At 38.1% G+C, this 20,330-nt stretch overlaps 1 protein-coding gene and 1 pseudogene across 1 annotated transcript; both read right to left on the bottom strand.

Moving 5' to 3' along the window:
* Positions 4,368 to 4,940, bottom strand: BNIP3P21 (BCL2 interacting protein 3 pseudogene 21; annotated as a pseudogene).
* Positions 19,209 to 19,975, bottom strand: LOC124904660 (putative zinc finger protein 826). The gene has a single exon (XM_047439794.1). It carries the CDS (start codon positions 19,818 to 19,820, stop codon positions 19,287 to 19,289), a length of 534 nt encoding a protein of 177 aa, XP_047295750.1. The 5' UTR covers positions 19,821 to 19,975; the 3' UTR covers positions 19,209 to 19,286.
* Between the last annotated feature and the right edge of the window lie 355 nt (positions 19,976 to 20,330).

The raw sequence follows: 20,330 nt of genomic DNA on the forward strand, positions 1-20,330 counted from the left end.
GTCTGTTTCTCTCTCTCTCTTTTTTTTATTTTTATTTTTGAGACCGAGTCTCGTACTCTTTCCCAGGCTGGAGTGCAGTGGTGCCATTTCAGCTCACTGCAAGCTCTGCCTCCTGGGTTCACACCATTATCCTGCTGCCTCAGCCTCCTGAGTAGCTGGGACTACAGGCGCCCTCCACCATGCCTGGCTAATTTTTTGTATTTTTAATACAGACAGGATTTCACTGCGTTAGCCAGGATGGTCTCTATCTCTTGACCTTGTGATCTGCCCGCCTTGGCCTCCCAAAGTGCTGGGATTACAGACATGAGCCACTGTGTCTGGCCTGTTCTCCTCTTTGTGTTCATGTGTTCTTATTATTTAGCTCTTACTTATAAATAATAACATGCATTTGGCTTTCTGTTTCTGCATTAGTTTTCTTTTTTTTGTTTTGTTTTGTTTTTTTGAGAAGGAGTTTTGATCTTGTTGTTTAAGCTGGAGTGCAATGGTATGATCTCGACTCACTGCAAACTTCGTTTCCTGGGTTCCAACAATTCTCCTGCCTCAGCCTCCTGAGTAGCTGAAATTACAGGAGGGCGCCACCACTCCTAGCTAATTTTGTATTTTTAGTAGAGACACAGTTTCTCTATGTCGGTCGGGCTAATCTCAAACTCCTGACCTCAGGTGATCCGCCCAAATCGACCTCTTGAAGTGCTGGGATTATGGGCCTGAGCCATCGCCTGGCCTCTGCGTTAGTTTTCTAAGAATGTTGGTCTCCACCTTCATCAATGTTATTGCAAAGGACATGGTCATTTTTTGTGTGTGTGTGTGGCCACCCAGTATTCCATGATGTTTCGTTTTTACTAAATTTTGTTTAGTAAATTTTTGTTTTTACTAAATTTTTTATTTTATTTTTGGAGACAAGCTTATTGCCCAGGCTAGAGTGCCAAGGCATGATATTGGCTTACTTTAGCCTCAACTTCCCAGGCTCAAGCAATTCTCTCCTACCTCATCCTCCCAAGAAGCTAGGACTACACACAGGCATTACCAAGCCTGGCCAATTTTTCTTTTTGCACTTTCCGTGGAGACAGGATTTTGCCATGTTTCCCAGGCTGGTCTCAAACTTCTAAGCTCAGGCAATTCACTTGCCTCCGCCTCCCAAAGTGCTGGGATTACAGGCATAAGCCACCGCATATGACCATACCATATTACCATATTTTCTTTATTCAGTCTACCATCGATAGGCATTTAGGGCCTGTCCTTATCTTTGCTAGTGTGAATAGTGCTGCAGTGAACATACATGTGGATGTGTCTTTATAATATAATAATTTATATTTCTTTGGGTATATACCCAATGATGAGATCCCTGGGTCAAATGATAATTCTGCTTTTAGTTCTGTGAGGAATCAACACACTGCTTTTTACAGTTGTTAAACTATTTACACTCCCACCAGCAGAGTATAAGCATTCTTTTTTCGCTGCAACCTTTGTCGGCATTTGTTATTTTTTTGAAATTTTATAAATAGCCATTCTGTTGGATGCGATGTGGTATCTCATTGTGGTTTTTCTTTTAATTTCTCTAATGATTAGCGATGAGCATTTTTTTCACACGATTGTTAGCCACATGTTTGTCATCTTTTGAAAAGAATCTCTTCAAGTTTTGTGATGTTACTTTTTAATGAGGTTTTTTTTTTTTTTTTGTAAACTTGTTTAAGTTCTTGGTTTTTTTTTTTTTTTTTTTTTTTGTCTTTTGTTTTTGAGATGGAGTTTCACTCTTGTTGCCCAGGCTGGTGTGCAATGGCCCAATCTTGGCTCACCGCAACCTCCACCTCCTGGGTTCAAGAGATTCTCCTGCCTCAGCCTCCCAAGTAGGTGGGATTACAGGCATGCAGCACCACGCCCTGCTAATTTTGTATTTTTAGTAGAGATGGGGTTTCTCCATGTTGGTCAGGCTGGTCTCAAACTCCCGGCCTCAGGTGATCTGCCCACCTCAGCCTCCCAAAATGCTGGGATTACAGGGGTGAGCCACTGCACCTGGCCTAAGTTCTTAATAAATTCTGGATATTAGACCTTTGTTAGAGAAAAAGTTTGCAAATTATTTTTATTCTGTAGGTTGTCTCTTTACTCTGTTGATAGTTTCCTTTGCTGTGAAGAAGCTCTTTAGTTTAAATAGGTCCCATTTGTCAATTTTTGCTTTTGTGGCAATTGCTTTTTGTAGATTCATCATGAAGGCTTTGTGAGTTTCTATGTCTAGAATGGTATTACCTAGGTTATCTTGCAGGGTTTCTTATAATTCTAAGTTTTACATTTAAGTGTTTAATTCATCTTGAATTCATTTTTGTACATGGTGTAATGAAGGGGTCCAATTTCAGTCTTCTACATAGTGCTAGGTAATTATTCCAGCACCATTTATGAAATAGAGAATTGTTCCCACATTCCTCTTGTCAGCTTTGGCAAAAATCTGTTGGTTGTAAGAGGGTGGCATTATTTCTGGGCTCTCTATTCTGTTGCCTTGGCCTTGTGCACTTATGGATTTTTTTATAACATCTTTCTGTCTTCTGTTTTTTTCCCCCATAAACCTTCTTTCAAGTGCATATAGTGTGCAAATTTCAGATGTCCCAGAGTTCAAAAAATTTTTAAAGTTCAAAAAAAATTTTGCTTTTTCTCTTTTCTTAGGTATTTAGATTATATGTAGATGTTTTTCTCTGCTTTTTTGAAATATATGTAAATCATATTAACAGCTAAATAAACCTTTTGTCATTTTTTCTCACTCCAGATTTTCTTTATCTAGTACTTCAGATTTATTGCTTTATTTTTGGTTCTGAGGGTTTATTTTTTTCATTTTTAGTCCTCTAAAGTAGACACAGATTTGTTTAGATAAAAGCGCTTTTCAAGAGCGCACAGAAGCTTAGCACAAAGATAGGATTAAGTTTTGTAATACAGAATGATAAAGACTGAAAGATGCTAAGTTTCTTTGACAGAGACCTGATGATCCAAGGAAATTATCTAATATTTGCAGGCTGAAGTACTTATACTGCAAAAGCAAGAACAGTTCAGTGTATAAACTGAAGAGTGGAGTCTGTAGTTGTACCTTGCTTTCTATTTATTACTTCAGAACAATTAGCATAGTTATGTGTAGTGTTTGTAGACAAGCTGCATCCATATAAATTAAACAGTATTTTCTTTTTTTAAATTATACTTTAAGTTCTAGGGTACATGTGCACAACGTGCACGTTTGTTACATACGTATATATGTGCCATGTTGGTGAGCTGCACCTATTAACTCGTCATTTACATTAGGTATATCTCCTAATGCTTTCCCTCCCCCCTCCCCCCAAGTATTTTCTTTTTTTGAGACAGAGTCTCACTCTGTTTCCCAGGCTGGAGTGCAGTGGCATTATCTCAGCTCACTGCAACCGCTGTCTCCCGGGTTCAAGCGATTCTCCTGTTTTAGCCTCCTGGGTAGCTGGGATTACAGGCGCGCATGACCACGTGTGGCTATGTTTTTGTATTTTTAGTAGAGACGGGGTCTCACCACGTTGGCCAGCTTGATCTTGAACTCCTGACCTCAGGTAATCCATCCAACTCACTCTTCCAAAATGCTGGGATTATAGGTGTGAGCCATAAACAGTATTTTCTAAAATTGTATGAATGTAAAGCTGCAATGCTGACTTCGAATGAATCACTTTAATTGTTAGTTTAATATTGTTATTTATACTTTTGAAATATAAAGTGTTTTAATTGAAGTATAGTTGCTATTTAGTTATTTAGAGACAGAGTCTCACTCTTTCACCCAGGCTGGAGTGCACTGGCTTGATCTCAGCTCACTGCAATCTCTGCCTCCTGGGTTCAAGCAATTCTTCTGTCTCAGCCTCCTGGGTAGCTGGGATGACAGGCACACTCCACGATGCCTGATTTTTTTTTTTTTTTGTATTTTTAGTAGAGATGGTGATTCACCATATTGGCCAGGCTGGTCTTGAACTCCTGACCTCGTGATCTGCATGCTTCAGCCTCACAAAGTGCTGGGATTACAGGCGTGAGACACCACTCCTGGCTATAGTTGCAATTTAAAAAATGCTGCATACATTAAGACTAGTTTATTAAAATTATTCATACTTAGATATTTATATGTAATATCTAAAGAAAATTTACTACCAAGTTGTTACAGTAGATATTAGGCTTACATGTTTATTACTTTATTCTATAGGGATAATTATGAGTAAACACAATTTTAGTATATTTTATTTCACTAAATTGGTATGCTGCTATTACAGGACAATGAAGACAGGTGATGTGGCCACCCAAAATTCGTAATAGCTCTTCAGTTACCTATGTTGCAAGTTCTAATGTGTTCCACTATATGAACACAGTCAGATTCTATTTCTTCATCAAAAAGTATTGTTGGAAGTTGTCAGATGTATTTCAATATAGAACCTCCATTCAATGGCTAGGAGAGGAGAGAGCAGCAGAGATGGAACAAAAACTTGATAAAATTCATCTGAAATTCTGCCCCCTTTCTTCATAATGCTCATGTTTCTCATGCTGAGAGTAATTGTGCACTTTCGGTGGTTAGAGAGAAATTGCTTTTAGGGGACTATTTTCTGGCTGACTTGATCAATCTTACATCTAATCTGAACTTTTTCTTAAGATCTTTTTAACTTTTTTTCCTCAAAATAATCTTGCTCAGATCAAGATCTGTTTTTCTCTCCAATGCTTTTGTGTTTGTTTCAAAAGCCCTATTCATATCTCATGGTGTCTGAATGAGGGGAGCTTCTCTATATGGACTCTATATAGAGTCCATCTCTATATGGACTCATTTGGAAATTCAGCAGTATTTTTTCCACATCACCATTATAAATAGAAATGGAGGCTGAAACACTGCTCACATTCCCATGATTGTGAAGGTGCAATTCTACCCAGGAGGCCTGCGTGCTCTCCTCCTGCAGCTCAGGCCTTGTTCTCTGATGTGACACTAGAGTGCTGCTGTGGTGAATGGTGTTCATATAAATTGTGAGCTGTGCTCTGGGTTGTGCCTCAGTGGCAGATGGTAGAGGTCAAGAGAGGACACTAGCAACCAGGAGAAAGCATCCAGTGCCAAGGAGTACAGAGCCACTTCTTTTAAATGGGAAAAGTTTATTTGTATTGAATATAAGGAATTAGCATACAGAGATGGCCTCTTTAGTCTACTTGTGAAGTAATTATGGTGACTATCTTTCTGTTGTTGCAGCCTCTTAAGCAGATTGATGATGATGCATGTCACATTCAAGTTCACTTGTGTAATAAAACTGTTTTCTTTCTGTTCTATTACTGTAGAGTTTCTCTAGGGCTTGAGAAAATTTTTCTTTTTCTTTCTTTCTTTTTTTTTTTGAGACGGAGTCTCACTCTGTCACCCAGGCTGTTAGTGCAGTGGCATGATCTCGGCTCACTGCAACCCCTGCCCTCTGAGTTCAAGTAATTCTCCTGCCTCTGTCTCCCTAGTAGCTAAGATTACTGTCGCCTGCCACCGCGCCTGGCTAATTTTTTGTATTTTTAGTACAGACGGAGTTTCACTACATTGGCCAGGCTGCTCTTGAACTCCTGACCTCGTGATCCACCTGCCTCAGCCTCCCAAAGTGCTGGGATTACAGGCATGAGCAACCGCACCTGGCCAAAAATTTTTCTTTTAATTATTGTTTCCAAACACTGTCTAGAATTACCAGACATGATATAAATGCATAAGGTGCCAACCAGGATTTTCTCTAGAGAAGACTTTTTCTCTCAGGCTTCCAGTCAACTCACACGTGTGTTGCAAAGTGCATGCTGTCCCCTAAATATGCAGGCAGAATTGTGTCTCTGCCTATTTGGAATCTATAGTCCTCTACAGTCACTTCCAGAGAGGCTAGACCACATTTCTACAAACTTCACAGGGGAGCAATTAACCATTTTACCTCTTTCAATGACTCGTGTATCTTCAGACGTGACACTGATATAGAAACTATATAGACCAGAAACCCAATCAGAATAACATGTGTGCACTGTGTAGACATAGAGACGTGAGAATCTCCGTGTTCCCCTTCCTCCTCTTGCTAAAGTGCTCACAAATGTGCAGGTAACACCTGCTGCTACTCCAGCCATTCAGGCCTAAATCTGTAGCTCCACATTTTGAATCCAGGTCGTGAGATTTGGGAAATAAAAAACTTTTATCTAAAAAATTCAAGTCCTTTTGGTTACCAAACTCAGAGAGACATTAAAATAAAAGTGCAGTTATTTCTCCCCTCTTTGAACTATGTATTCATCTCTTGAAACTGTTCACTATTGGCACAAGTACCTATAAGTTAAACTAATAATGCCACATTGGACAGTATATCCCATACCCTAAACCATAACGATATATATCTAATCAATAATCAATGCCATATCTGTATATAAATAAAAATTTCCAACAAACAACTTTGTATCAGCCCACTCTCTGTCCTTCTCTTGTTGTCTTTACAAATCCTCTTGTAACTGCTGTGAATCAAAGTGTAGATTCCAGGCAAATTGAACCTTTGCTCCCAGGTTATAATCCTTAAACTTGACCCAAATAAACTGTCTACTTATATTCATGTTGTGTCAGCTTTTTTTTTTTTATGTAGACTTATCATTTAGAATGTGCTAGAGCAGCCTCTATGAGGGGATCCCTCCTTTGTACTCCATTTGCTGTAACACCAAACGATGCAGAACCAGGTGGATTCTACCTAGAATCTGCTGATAAATTCAGGCCTCTGCCTGGGATTTATAAAAATGGCCAGATATTGGATTGAGAATGTACAGAAAACAAACAAGAAATTTTCAGCATTTTGAGATATCAACATAAACATCTTACAGCCCCCATTTGGGAGTGTGGCATTTTGAGGTTTTTTTACATCTTGTTCATTGACCTGCTGCGGTTATGTGAGAGGCTCCAGGAGGAAATAGCATCTGATGCCAGAATCTGTAAGTGTAAATAAGCATCTTAGGAGTGAGAGATGAAGTCCACAAAATATCCAGAGCCATGACCACAACTATATTTACCTGTAAAATGTGATACTAGAGTGTAGAATATTTTAGTTTTTTCTCTTACCCAAGAGCTAGCAAATCAGAATAGTGATCCAGGTTCTGGAGCTCCACCAGGGTAATTCCCTATTCCATTTACATTCAGCCTGAGTCTCTCCAGCCTGGCTTATCATTGACCATCAGCCCTGCATCACTGGGAATTCTCTCACAATCACCTAGGTGTCTTTGAGGCATTTGAGGATGTCCAGAGCAGAATTATGTCAGGCTGACAAGAACGGTTAATTCGGCTTCTGTCTCAGTGTAAGAGAAATGAGTCATTCTGTGTTTGTTCATCCCCTCATAGAAGAAGTGCCATTGGTTGGTACCCAGATGAGAGTTTATCCAGTTTCCTGGTACTTGGATGATAAACAAGGAGGAGATCTGGAGACCTAAATAGATAAACTAGTTGTTTCCATTTCATATGGCCATTAAAAAAAATGAAACAGTCATGGTTCCTACAATCCAGAAACGTTTAGTCTAGACTAGCAACTGGATAAATAATTAAGTTATGCATTATATGGTTGGTACAATAAGCAGATGTGTCCAAAATCTTGGGCTTTATTTAGGCCGCTGTCTTTATATTGTTGTGACTTCTGATGTCTACACCTGAATGATATTTATGAACAGAAGAATTGCTATAATTTCTTTTTTTATTTTTGAAATGGAGTCTTACTCTGTCACCAAGGCTGGAGTGCAGTGGCACAATCTTGGCTCATTGCAACCTCTGCCACCCGGGTTCAAGCAATTCTCCTGCCTCAGCCTCTTGAGTAGCTAGGATTACAGGTGCCTGACACCGCACCTGGCTAATTTTTGTATTTTTAGTAAAGACGGGGTTTGACCATCTTAGTCAGGCTGGCCTGGAACTCCTGACCTCGTGATCCAGCCAACTTGGTCACCCAAAGTGCTGGGATTACGGGCATGAGCCACCATGCCCAGCCATATAATATCTAATTTTTTTTACCTTGTTAAGTGCATGGTATTTATTTTCCAATAAAATTACACTAGAAAACCTGAAGGGATTTGTTTAAGTTGCATATTAGTATATGGTATAAAGTTGACAGGGCAGTTGCTAGAAAAGATTAAAATTAGAGAAATTCTAGGATTTAAGTTTCTTTCATGTAAGCTTAGAAAAAACAAAACTGGTATTACCCCAGTGGCATAGAGAACAGAATTCTATAGGGTCCTTACCCTGTTCCAGACCTGTTCATATTCACACTTGTTGGAGGCCTTATTTAGATCTGAATCTAACCTGGAGTCTTGCTCTCAGAACTGATTAGTAGAGATCAGAGTTTTGGCTGGTGAATCCTGCTGCCTTTCTAGAGCTGGTGCTCACAATTTCCTGAAACCCAAAAGCAGATAAATGGGAAAAATGAAGTATGTATTGTAGGGTCTTAGTTTTTAAATTTTCTGTTAAAACCAGTGCTTGCAGAGACATTCTATTTAGCAACTTGTTTTCTATTCCTGCAGATCCAGTAGTTGCTCCACAAGTCACAAAAAAGTAAATATAAACAGAATACAATTTTCTCTAAACTACATTAAACTCTTCCTTTCTATGTCTCTTTCATCTGTCTATATTTAGCTTTTATTCTTTACAGTTTTTTTAAAAATTTGCTAACAGAGAAACAGAAGAAGAAATAAAAATGCTGGGCCCTTTATCTAAATCTTGGAAATTATTAAACCCTTAGTACCAGCTCCAGGGTGTTATGACAATTAAATCACATAATGTGTTACGCCCAGCACAGTGCTCCATATCATACTCTTGAGCACATAGTACGTGCTTAATAAACATTGCATTAGTACATGTGTACATGTTTTTTAAATCCAGACTTATTCAGACATTGCTGCCTTTTGTTTCCTCTGTAAACTTTAAAGAGCCATCAAAGAATAGGAAACTTTAGGATGGAGATGGGTTGTCCTTATTTGTACAAGAAATATTTGGTTGTGACAAGAGTTCTAAGTGTAAGGAACCCTGTGCTGTGCCTGCTTTCTCTAACTAATGCTAATAATGAGCCCAGTGGAAGAAACATCAGCATTGACAGGGAACTTGTTTAAAACACCCATTCATGGACCCTTTTCAAACCTGCAGAATCACATTACATAAAGTGGGGCCAAAATTACCAAGTGATTTATAAGCTCGTTAAAGCTTGAGAGGCAATGATTAGCTCAGTGGTTATCAGCCCAGGCTTCTCATTAGGATCACATGGCCAATTTGCAGAAACCTCTTGTGCCCTCCCCACAGCTTCTGTTTATTGTTGTGGGTAGAAATATCCATGTTGTTTTTTTTTGCCTTTTTTTTTTTCCTTTTTGTGGAGAACGGGGTCTTGCTATATTGCCCAGGAAGGTCTCAAACTCCTGGGCTCAAGCTATCATCCTGCCTCTGCCTCCCTGAGTGCTGGGACTACAGGTGTAAGCCACTGCATCTGGCTCCATGTTACTTTAATGAAGGGCCTCATGTGACTCTAAGGTGAGGTCAGAATCAAGTATGAGGGTTTCAAAATACATTCATGAGAGTTAAGTTCCAACTATGCCCTAAAGTGCGGTCACAGGGGCAGTTCTGTTTGGGTTTGGTAGGGACAGGTCAGTGTGGCACATATTTGCATTACTGTAGCAGAAATTGCTGGTGTCTGTGGCAGGGGAGGGCAACTGAGGACAGAAAAGGAGAAACTTATATTTTTATCTTCATGGAGCGGCTCATTGTTCCTGAATCTCTTCTGTTTTAAAGGACAGAAATGAGTGGACTTTTTCTGTCTTTTTCTGCCAGTTGATGTCATGCTAGCAGGTACATGTGTGGTACTGACACCTTTAAAGGCATATTCTCAACATGCAGGTGTAATTTATCCAGAGAATCTCATCTGAGAAGAAATTCCAGAGAAGGAGAAGAAAGAAAAAAAATGGCTTTTCTTCAGGTAAACAGGTGTCAGATGAAGAGCTGTGTCCACTCTGCCTCCTGGACTGCCATGAATTTAGTACTTACAAAACTTTATTTCTCTACTTGTGTTTTTCCTCCTTAATGAGTTTGATTTAACTACTTCTTAAAATTCTTATGATAGTCAAGAGTCTCTGAGAAATATTTCTTTCCAATATCCAGTAGCCTTCTCTACATTTTCTATGTTATAGCTTCTTATATGACATGAAGAATTCTCAGCAAGAATTTATGATACACAGTATTAAAAATGTTCCCTTTGTGGCTGTTGAACAGGGAAAGATGTGGGTACTCAAGATCTCTATTGGGGAAACTTGTGGTCCATAGTACACATGGAGAACATGTCATGTTGAGGCTCCATCTGTGTGTTCCATTAGCTCTATGCAGAACAGGATTAAGAAAATGCTGATTTAAATGAAATGGAATTTATTAACCAGAAAGTTCTGAAAAAAGTTATTTGGAGATATCTGTTTTCTAGGTTGCCAAATGAAGCCTATTTAAAATTACTATTAAAATTACACAACATAGGAGTTATCTGGATTTTGAAGTTTGTATACAACTGATTTTTTTTATGGTTAAATTCAGACTATAATTTACTTCTTTTGGGAGAAATATTTCAACACTGATGCTGTGTTCTTCTATGTGAATTAGCACATCATAAAAATTTGTCCTAGTGCAGTTAGTGGTTAAAGATTCACTTGGTGGAATAGCTCTCTGATGAATTATTTTCACTACAGAGTTAATTATTTTTCTCTTCATCATGAAGTATCTTTATGCAGCGGATGTGCATAGACCATCACATTTAATCTGGCAGCTGTTCTTTTTTCTAATTTTTTCTACATAATTTTCTTTGGAAAATGAAGGCTTTCATCTTTGCTTACAGGCTAGAAAAACTGGGAAAAACATGGGCTCTTCCACTTACTGGATGTCTGCCAAAATATCCTTCTTGGGCCAAAAACATTGGCATTACTGGTGAGCTTGTTAGAAATTCAAAAAATCGGCCAAGTGCTGTTGCTCAAGCATGCAATCTTACCACGTTGGGAGGCCGAGGTGGGTGGATCACCTGATGTCAGGATTTTGAGTCCAGTCTGGCCAACATAGAGAAAACCCTATGTCTACTAAAAGTACAAAATTATCTGGGTGTGGTGGTGCATGACTGTAATCCCAGCTACTCAGGAGGCTGAGGCCGGAGAATCACTTGAACCCGGGAGACTTAGGTTGCAGTGAGCCAAGATTGCATCACTGAACTTCAGCCTGGGCAACTAGATCGAAACCCTGTCTCAGAACAAAACAAAACAAAACAAAAAATTTGAGAGGTGCCTTCTAACTCAACATGTCTTTTCCATTTGAAAAATATTCACAACTCATTCTGTATGATGTAAATATAGCACTCAAAAATGTACATGTTTATGTTTATGGCCTTAATTTTATACTTTATTATATGGAAAAATATAAGAACTGATATTGTGGATGTTATGCTGCTCTTTTTTCTCAGAGTTAGAGGATATATCAGAGAATATTTCTGTGTTGATATTATTTTATTGGATAACTTTAGTCAGTCGAATAAGTCAGAACCAGTTCTCTTTACTCTCTCATTTCACCTTAAGTCAAATAAAAAATTCTGCCTATGGCCACATGGTGAAAATGTGTGTGTGTGTGTTTTTCAGGGACCATTGCAATTTAGAGATGTGGCCATAGAATTCTCTCTGGAAGAGTGGCATTGCCTATACACTGCACAGTGAAATTGATATAGGGATGTGATGTTATGGAACTACAGACACCTGGTCTTTTTTGGTGAAGATAGCATTAATATATAATTCATAATATACTCTGAAGAGTATATTATTTCTCTTTTTTATAGAATGTATTATAGTAGTTTATTCTTTGCATAAAAGAGTTTCAGCGCTGGGCATGATGGCTCATGTCTGTAATCCCAACACTTTGGGAGGCTGAGGCAGGTGGATCACGAGGTCAGGAGTTCAAGACCAGCCTGGACAAGATGCTGAAACCCCATCTCTACTAAAAATACAAAAAATTAGCCAGGCATGGTGGTGGGCACCTGTATTCCTAGCTACTCAGTAGGCTGAGGGAGAGAATTGCTTGAACCCGAGAGGCAGAGGTTGCAGTGAGCCGAGATCGGGCCACTGCACTTCAGTCTGAGCAACAGAGTGAGACTTCATCTCAAAAAAAAAAAAAAAAAAAAAAAGAGTTTCTGATCCCCCTTTATTTGTAAAATCTTCAGAATTTGGTAATATAGGAAAGAATTTCTTCAATATGTTTTATCTTAATCCAAACTTTCCACAGTACTGAGATGAGCTGTATTCTTCACTCTAAATTAGTGGTACTTCCAGAAATTTAGCGGCATAAAATATTGTTGCCCCACCTGAAAATCTAATTGCCACCACCAATTTTTGATTCAGTAGTACCAGGTATTAAAATTAAGAAACCTACAAATTGAAAGTATTTTCTAAATATTTAGAAATTTCTTTTATAATTTAGTATTTTGGTATCAATTTACTATTATATTTTATCACATCCTCTCTGCTGAGCACATTACTAGCTTGTAGTTGGAGAATATGAGCAAGATTCATGTTATTTATTCTTAATAAAACAGGTATTGTTTTCTCTAAGCCAGACCTGATCACTTGTCCGGAGCAAGGAAAAAAACCTTTGACTTTGAAGAGACTTGAGATGATTGCCATAGCCCCAGGTAGGTGCGAGTGAAAATGAATACAACAGATGACACAGATAAGAGGTCCCAAGGTCAAAGAGAAAGCCAGTCCTTAGAATGTGACTGGGGAAGCTGAGTTCCAAAGGAAATAGTTCCTGGGCATCTGGGGTTTTTTGTTTGTTTTATTTTTTTAAATTTTGCTCTCAGAAAGGGGCATCTTTTTTGTTACGCTTTTTGCTTTTTTTTTTTTTTGAGATGGTGTTTCGCTCTCGTTGCCCAGGCTGGAGTGCAATGGTGTGATCTTTGCTCACCACAGTCTCCACCTCCCAGGTTCAAGTGATTCTCCTGACTCGGTTTTTCTAGTAGCTGGGATTACAGGCATGCACCACCATGCCCGGCTAATGCTATATTTTTAGTAGAGATGGGGTTTCTCCATGTTGGTCGGGCTGTTCTCGAACTTCCAAACTCAGGTGATTTACCCACCTCAGCCTCCCAAAGTACTGAAATAACAGGCGTGAGCCACCACACCCAGCCCTGCTTTATGCCTGTAAATTCTCTAAGGATTCTATTTTTCTTTCAGTGAGCTTCCTTCAGGTTTATACTGAAAGCAAAATTCCTCTTCATGGCATATAAGAGACTGCACAATCTGGCTGCTTTTTTATTGTTTGCAGGACTCACAAATATTTGCATGATTTTGAGAAACTAAAACTCTTTTTTAGGTTTTTTTTGCATCAGATTTGAAATGTGTGAGAGCAGTAGTTTCTTTTGCATTTTTTTGTTCATTTTTCTGCACAGTCCTTTCTGTTTTTATTGCTAGTCTTGAAATATAGTTGGCAATTATAAGTATGATATCCTTCTGCTTTGCTCTTTTTCCTTGATTGCTTTGGCTATTCCAAGTTTATTTTAGTTTCATGTAAATTTTAGAATTATATTTTCCATTACTGTGAAAAAAATAGCACTGCAATTTTGATTGGCATTATATTGAATCTATAGATCACTTTGGATAATATGGCACTTTAGTAATATTTATTTTCAATTCATAGACATAAAATATTTTAAAATTTATTTGGATCTTCCCTAATTTTTTTCATTTTTTTATTGTAAAGATTTTTTTACCTCCTTGGTTAAATTTTTTCTCAGACATTTATTATTTAATACTATAGCAAATAAGATTTCTTTCTTTTTTTTTTCTTTTAGAGATAGAGTCTTGCACTGTCACCCAGGCTGGAGTGCAGTGGCATGATCTTGGCTTACTGCAAACTCCGCCTCCTGCGTTCAAGCAATTCTCTTGCCTCAGCCTCCCAACTAGAAGAGATTGCAGGTGCCCACCATCAGGCCCAGCTAATTTTTATATTTTTAGTACAGATAGACTTTCACCACGTTGGCCAGGCTGGTCTTAAACTCCTGAACTCAGATGATCGACCCCCCTCAGCCTCCCAAAGTGCTGGGATGGCAGACGTGAGCTACCATGCCCAGCATCTTCCTGTATTTTATCAGATAGTTTTAAGTGTATGAAATCATACGTATACTTGTATGTTAATTTTATATTTTGCTAATTTACTGAGTGTATTTGGTTTAGACAGGTTTTAATATACTGTTTATGGTTTCTTTGTGTTTATTTTTGAGGCAGAATCTCACTTTGTCGCCCAGGCTGGGGTTCAGTGGCACAATCTCAACTCACTTCAAGCTCCACCTCCCAGGTTCACACCATTCTCCTGCCTCAGCCTCCTGGGTAGCTGGGACTATAGGCACCTGCTGCTGTGCCCGGCTAATTTTTTGTAATTTTTTTTTTTTTTGTAGAGATGGGGTTTCACTGTGTTAGCCAGGATGGTCTCGATCTCCTGACCTCGTGATCCACCCGCCTCGGCCTCCCAAAGTGCTGGGATTACAGGCGTGAGCCACCGCGCTCGGCCCTGTTTATGGTTTCTTAAATATAAAATTTTATGATCTACAAACTGCAACTTTTTACTTTTCTTTAATTTCAATGGATTAAATTTTTTCAACTAATTCTTCTGCCACATACATCCAGTGCTAGATTAAAATAGAAGCAATGACAATGGGCAAAATATAGTTTTATATTGGTGTCTGAATTTGATGGAGCAAACACCTCTTCAAATTTTCATAAACTGATTTCAGAAGATAAAAATCTTTTGTTGGACCCTTAGGGTGATGATAAGCTCTCTGAATTTGTAGTGAAGAGGGGTTGCAGCTTGGTCACAAGGCTGCTGGGTCTGCTTTAGGGTCCACCATTAGTTGGCTTGTTACAGGGGCTTGGATAGTTGTAATTCCCATTTTATTTGTGAACAGACCACATGTTTTTCAGGACTTTGCTCCATAGGGCAGACACTAGGGCAGGTTTTTGCAGTCGGATCTGCATATGGTGGGCCTCGTATCAGGATGCGGATGAGTGTAGCTTTCACTGAGTACCAGAGAACATTTCCTCAGGTAACTGTGTGGGTTTCTATGTAGGCAGAACTGATCATAAACTGAGGCTCAGGTAACTGAAACTGAGTCATTGAACTGCTTCACAGACCCCAGTAAAGGCCAAGGTTTGCAGGCCTGCCTACATGGCTGTAAATGGGTGCCTTCCTCCAGGTCTCTGGAATGGCAGGACCTTGGCCAGACTGTGGCTGGTAGGAGTTTGGGATAATTACAGAGTAAGTTCAGAATTCTCAGTGGGATCAAGTTGGGTGAACCCTATCCTGGTCTGTAGCCAAGAACAGGGGTCATGTAGTTTTCCACCTGAATGAGGGCCTGCCTTCCGAATAGAACACTTCTCAACCTTAAGCTTTAACAGTTTTTCACAACTCCCTCCCTGGATCTCAAATCTCTCATAGAGGCCCTTATTTTGGAGATGACGTCTTGCTTCATAACCAAGGCTGGTCTCGAAATCCTGGCCTGAAGCAGTTCTCCAACCTTAATGTACCATGTAGCTGTCATTACAGGTGTGAGCCATAATGACTGGTTCTCTAATAAAGGCACTTTTTTTTTCCTCTGAGATGGAGTCTCACTCTGTCATTCAGGCTGGAGTGCAGTGGCGCCATCTCAACTCTCTGCAAACTCCGCCTCCCGGGTTCAGGCAATTCTCCTGCCTCAGCCTCCTGAGTAGCTAGGATTACAGGTGTGTGCCACCACAACCGCCTAATTGTTTTGTATTTTTAGTAGAGATAAGGTTTCACCATGTTTGCCAGGCTGGTCTTGAATTCCTGACCTCGTGATCTGCCTGCCTCAGCCTCCCAAAGTGCTGGGATTAAAGGCATCAGCCACAGCACTCAGTCAATAAAGGCATCAGGGATGGCTGATTTTTTTTGCTGTAAGGGAATATGAAAATAGGGCTCTTTTAACCTTATTGATGTCACTCTCCCTATACATTTTTACTTTCTATTTTCTATTTCAAATTGTCTGTAACTTTAGATTCAGATATTTAGGACAATATGCTAGAATTTGCATGGTATGCCTGAAGTAAATTACATAACTAGCAGGCACTCCATATTTACCAAAATACTTCGTTATAAATTCAAATTTGTTGCAGGCAAAAAGGAATTACAGAATTTTCATTTACATTCTTCAGACTATATCTAAAGAATAACAGTTTATTTCCTAATATTTGTTTCACATATCACAGTGCCTAACCCTATTCTGCCAAATATATATGTATATAATTCTTTCTATGTTTAACAATTTAAGTCTATTTTTTGCTTCTAAAGTTGGATTACAACAGTTTCATTTTGTGTAATAATAGCATATATTTTAAACATAAAGAGTAACCCTAGTTTCTTTTAAATGCTTATTAAATGTTTCTCATTAAGTCTTCTATTTATTGTTTTGGGAAAAAAAGTCTTTCTGCTACTTTTGTTATCCACATAAAAAAACATATCCTCTACAAATAATAATTAACAAATGTCCAGTTTTATTCATTACAAATATTAACATCATTTTTCTTTTATTTATCCTTTATGCATCATTTTATACATTCACACACACAAAGAACATTAAAAATATATCCAATTATTCAATTTTGGTTGAATTTTCATTAAAATAAGTGTTAAAAATATTTATTTGTTTTCTGTTTTGAGAAGGCTTTTATTGTTGTACTCCAGAGTGTTATTTCTGGAGACAAAGTTGCCTGTGCTTTAATAGGGAGATTCCTGGGAGAATCTAAACCATAAGCAACAAAATTTTAAGTTAATAAATTCAAGACAAAGCAGAAAGTATAGATTTGCTTTCAGCATTCCCGAGGTGTTTAGATTTTTATTAGTCACCTAATTAAAATATTGTTCCAATAATTGTTCTTTTCTTCTGAAAATAAGCAGAAACTCATACTTACACAAAAACACTTCATAATTTTCTTACACCTAAGGTTTATCTTCAGAATGATATGTGTATATTTAACCCTGTGCAAATTAACACTAAAAGTCTATGTTTGCAGGCAGAGACCACATGTTCAAAGAAAACTATATAACAAATATTTTTAAATAATTTTTCAGGATTTTCTATGGATTTCTATTTCTTTTTTTTCTGAGATCGAGTCTCACTGTCACCCAGGCTGGAGCACAGCTGCAGGATCTCAGCTCACTGCAACCTCCACCTCCTGGGTTCAAGTTATTCTCCTGCCTCAGCCTCCATGTGCCACCATGTCTGGCTATATTTTGTATTTTTAGTAGAGACGAGGTTTCACCACATTGGCCAGGCTGGTCTTGAACTCCTGACCTCAGGGAAACCACCTGTCTTGGCCTCCCAAAGTAGTGGGATTACAGGCATGAGCCACTGGGCTGGGCCATATTCTATTTCTGTATAATTTTTATTATGACCATAAAAATAACAATGTAGTTAATAACAATTTAATTGTACATTTTAAAATAATTAAAGTATATAATTACACTGTTTGTAATAAAAAGTATAAATGTTAGAGGTGATGGATACCTTATTTACCCTAATGTAATTACTACACATTGTAGGCCTGAATGAAAATATGCCATATAAGGCATAAATATATACACATACTATATACCCACAAATACCAATAATAAATTTCAATAAGAAAAAAGAATAAAAATCTAACCTATGGAAACAATATTCTTAAATTCATTTGCTGTTTAAAGCCACTCGCAAAGTGATTACTAGAGATGTTATTTCACTATGTACCAAATAGTATGTTGCTACCATCTTTTACCTACACCCTTGAGTAAGGTGGGATAGGTTAAAGTTAGTGGAATAATGCTTCATTAAATGCACAATAGTCTTAACATGTTAAAAAAATAAAATTAAGTTTGCACATAATCTAATGATTTTTAAATATACTGCATTTTATTACATAAAAGTACAATTAATAATATACTTATTTTAATATACTTTTAACTATAATTAACAATTCCACCATAATGTAGAAAATAGTCTGAACACCTAGCTTATACATTACTTAATATAGGTTAACTACAATGAGCCTCTCCACTTATCTTTTCATCATGCATCTTACATTTTAGTGTCCTTACTTTTATAGAAAAGGTTATAAATAATGCCCAATAAAAAAAGAATCTCTGGTATCTCTGATGCAGCAAAAATTGCTCATATGTTTTCACATGTGAATAGGAATAAAATAACAGCATAAAGTAATTTGAAAGCTGTATGACATCATTATTCACTTTTGAAAAACTTTTTTTCAAGAAAACAAGTATACTTTTAATGTAATTACAATGCTTCCAAAAATCTCCTTTTAAAGCTATATACAAATAATTTTAAACAATTTTTTATTTTTATATTTATCAAGTGTGGCAACCAAATAAAGGCTTTGTCACATTTTATACTTTTCTACAGTTTCACACTAGTATAATTTTTTTATGTATAGAAACGTTGGAGGTGTTGGGAACAGCACTGTCACATCTTTCAGGTTTGTAGAGTTCCTCTTCAGCATGAATTATTGCCATGTCTCTTAAGAATTGAGAACTTATGGCTAGGAATGGAGGCTCATGCCTGTAATCCCAGCACTTTAGGAGGCCAAAGTGGGTGGATCAACTGAAGTCAGGAGTTTGAGACGAGCCTGGCAAATATGGCAAAACCCCATCTCTACTAAAACTACAAAAATTAGCTGGGTGTCATTGTGGGTACCTGTAATCCCAGCTACCCAGGAGACGAAGGTTGCAGTGAGCCAAGATCATGCCATTGCACTCCAGCCTGGGTCACAATAGTGAAACTGCATCTCAAAAAAAGAAAAAAAAAATTGAGAACTTGTTATAGGCTTTGCCAAATTCTTCACACCTGTAGGGTTTCTGTCCAGTATGAATTATGTGTAATAAGTGTTGAGAACTTCCTTACAAAGAGGTTTGTCAGCCTGGTGCAGTGGCTTGTGCCTGTAATCCTGGCAATTTGGGAGGCTGAGATGGGTGGATCACTTGAGGTTGGCAGCTGAAGACCAGCCTAACCAACATGGAGAAACCCCATCTGTACTAAAAATACAAAATTAGCCAGGTGTGGTGGTGCATGCCTGTAATCTTAGCTACACAGGAAGGCTGTGGCAGGAGAATCGCTTGAACCTGGGAGATGGAGGTGAAGGTGAGCCAAGATTGCGCCATTGCACTCCAGCCTGGACAACAAGAGTGAAACTCCATCTCAAAAATAAATAAATAAATAAATAAATAAATAGATAAATAAATAAATAAAGCTTTGTTACAGTATTGGTTTCTGTCCACTATGAATTCTCTTATGTTTATTGAAGTCTGAGGACCAGTTAAAAGCTTTGCCACATTCTTCACATTTGCAAGGTTTCTCTCCAGTATGAATTGTCTTATATTCACTTAGAGTTGAGGATGCAGTAAAGGCTTTGCCACATTCTTCACATTTGTAAGGTTTCTCTCCAGTATGAGTTCTCCTATGTTTATGGGGGCTTGAGGACCATGTAAAGGTTTTTATACCATTTATAGCATTTCTCTCCAGTATGAATTGTCTTATGTATAGTAAGGTGTGAAAAATGGTTGAAGGCTTTGCCACATTCTTCACATTTGTAGAGTTTCTCTCCAGTATGAATCTTCTCATGTTCACTAAGGGTTGAGGATAAAATAAAGGCTGTGCCACATTTATCACACTTGTATGGTTTCTCTCCAGCATGAATTTTCTTATGCCTAGTAAGGTGTGAGGAATGGGTGAAAGCTTTGCCATATTCTTCACATTTGTAGGGTTTCTCTCCAGTATGAATCTTCTCATGTTTACTAAGGGTTGAGGATGAAATAAAGGCTTTGCCACATTTATCACACTTGTATGGTTTCTCTCCAGTATGAGTTTTGTTATGTGAAGAAAGGGTTGCAGGATGTTTAAAAGCTTTGCCACATTCTTTACATTTGTAGGGTTGCTCTCCAGTATGAGTTATCTTATGAATAGCAAGCTGTGAGGGCCAGTTAAAGGCTTTGCCACACTCTTCACATTTGTAGGATTTCTCTCCAGTATGGATTATCTTATGTTCAGTAAGCGTAGAGGAATACTTAAAGCCATTGCCACATTCTTCACATTTGTAGGGTTTCTCTCCAGTATGAGTTATCTTATGTGTAGTTAGGTGTGAGGACCATCTGAAGGCTTTGCCACATTCTTCACATTTGTAGGGTTTCTCTCCAGTATGAATCTTCTCATGTTTACTAAGGGTTGAGGAAAAAATAAAGGCTTTGCCACATTTATCACACTTGCATGGTTTCTCTCCAGTATGAGTTTTCTTATGTGAAG

The sequence above is a fragment of the Homo sapiens genome, chromosome 19 (assembly GCF_000001405.40).
Source record: "Homo sapiens chromosome 19, GRCh38.p14 Primary Assembly".
Taxonomy (NCBI): domain Eukaryota; kingdom Metazoa; phylum Chordata; class Mammalia; order Primates; family Hominidae; genus Homo; species Homo sapiens.

Coding starts and splice junctions, on each gene's coding strand:
- LOC124904660 (XM_047439794.1), bottom strand. CDS start 19,820: ATGAGAAGATTCATACTGGAGAGAAACCCTACAAATGTGAAGAATATG.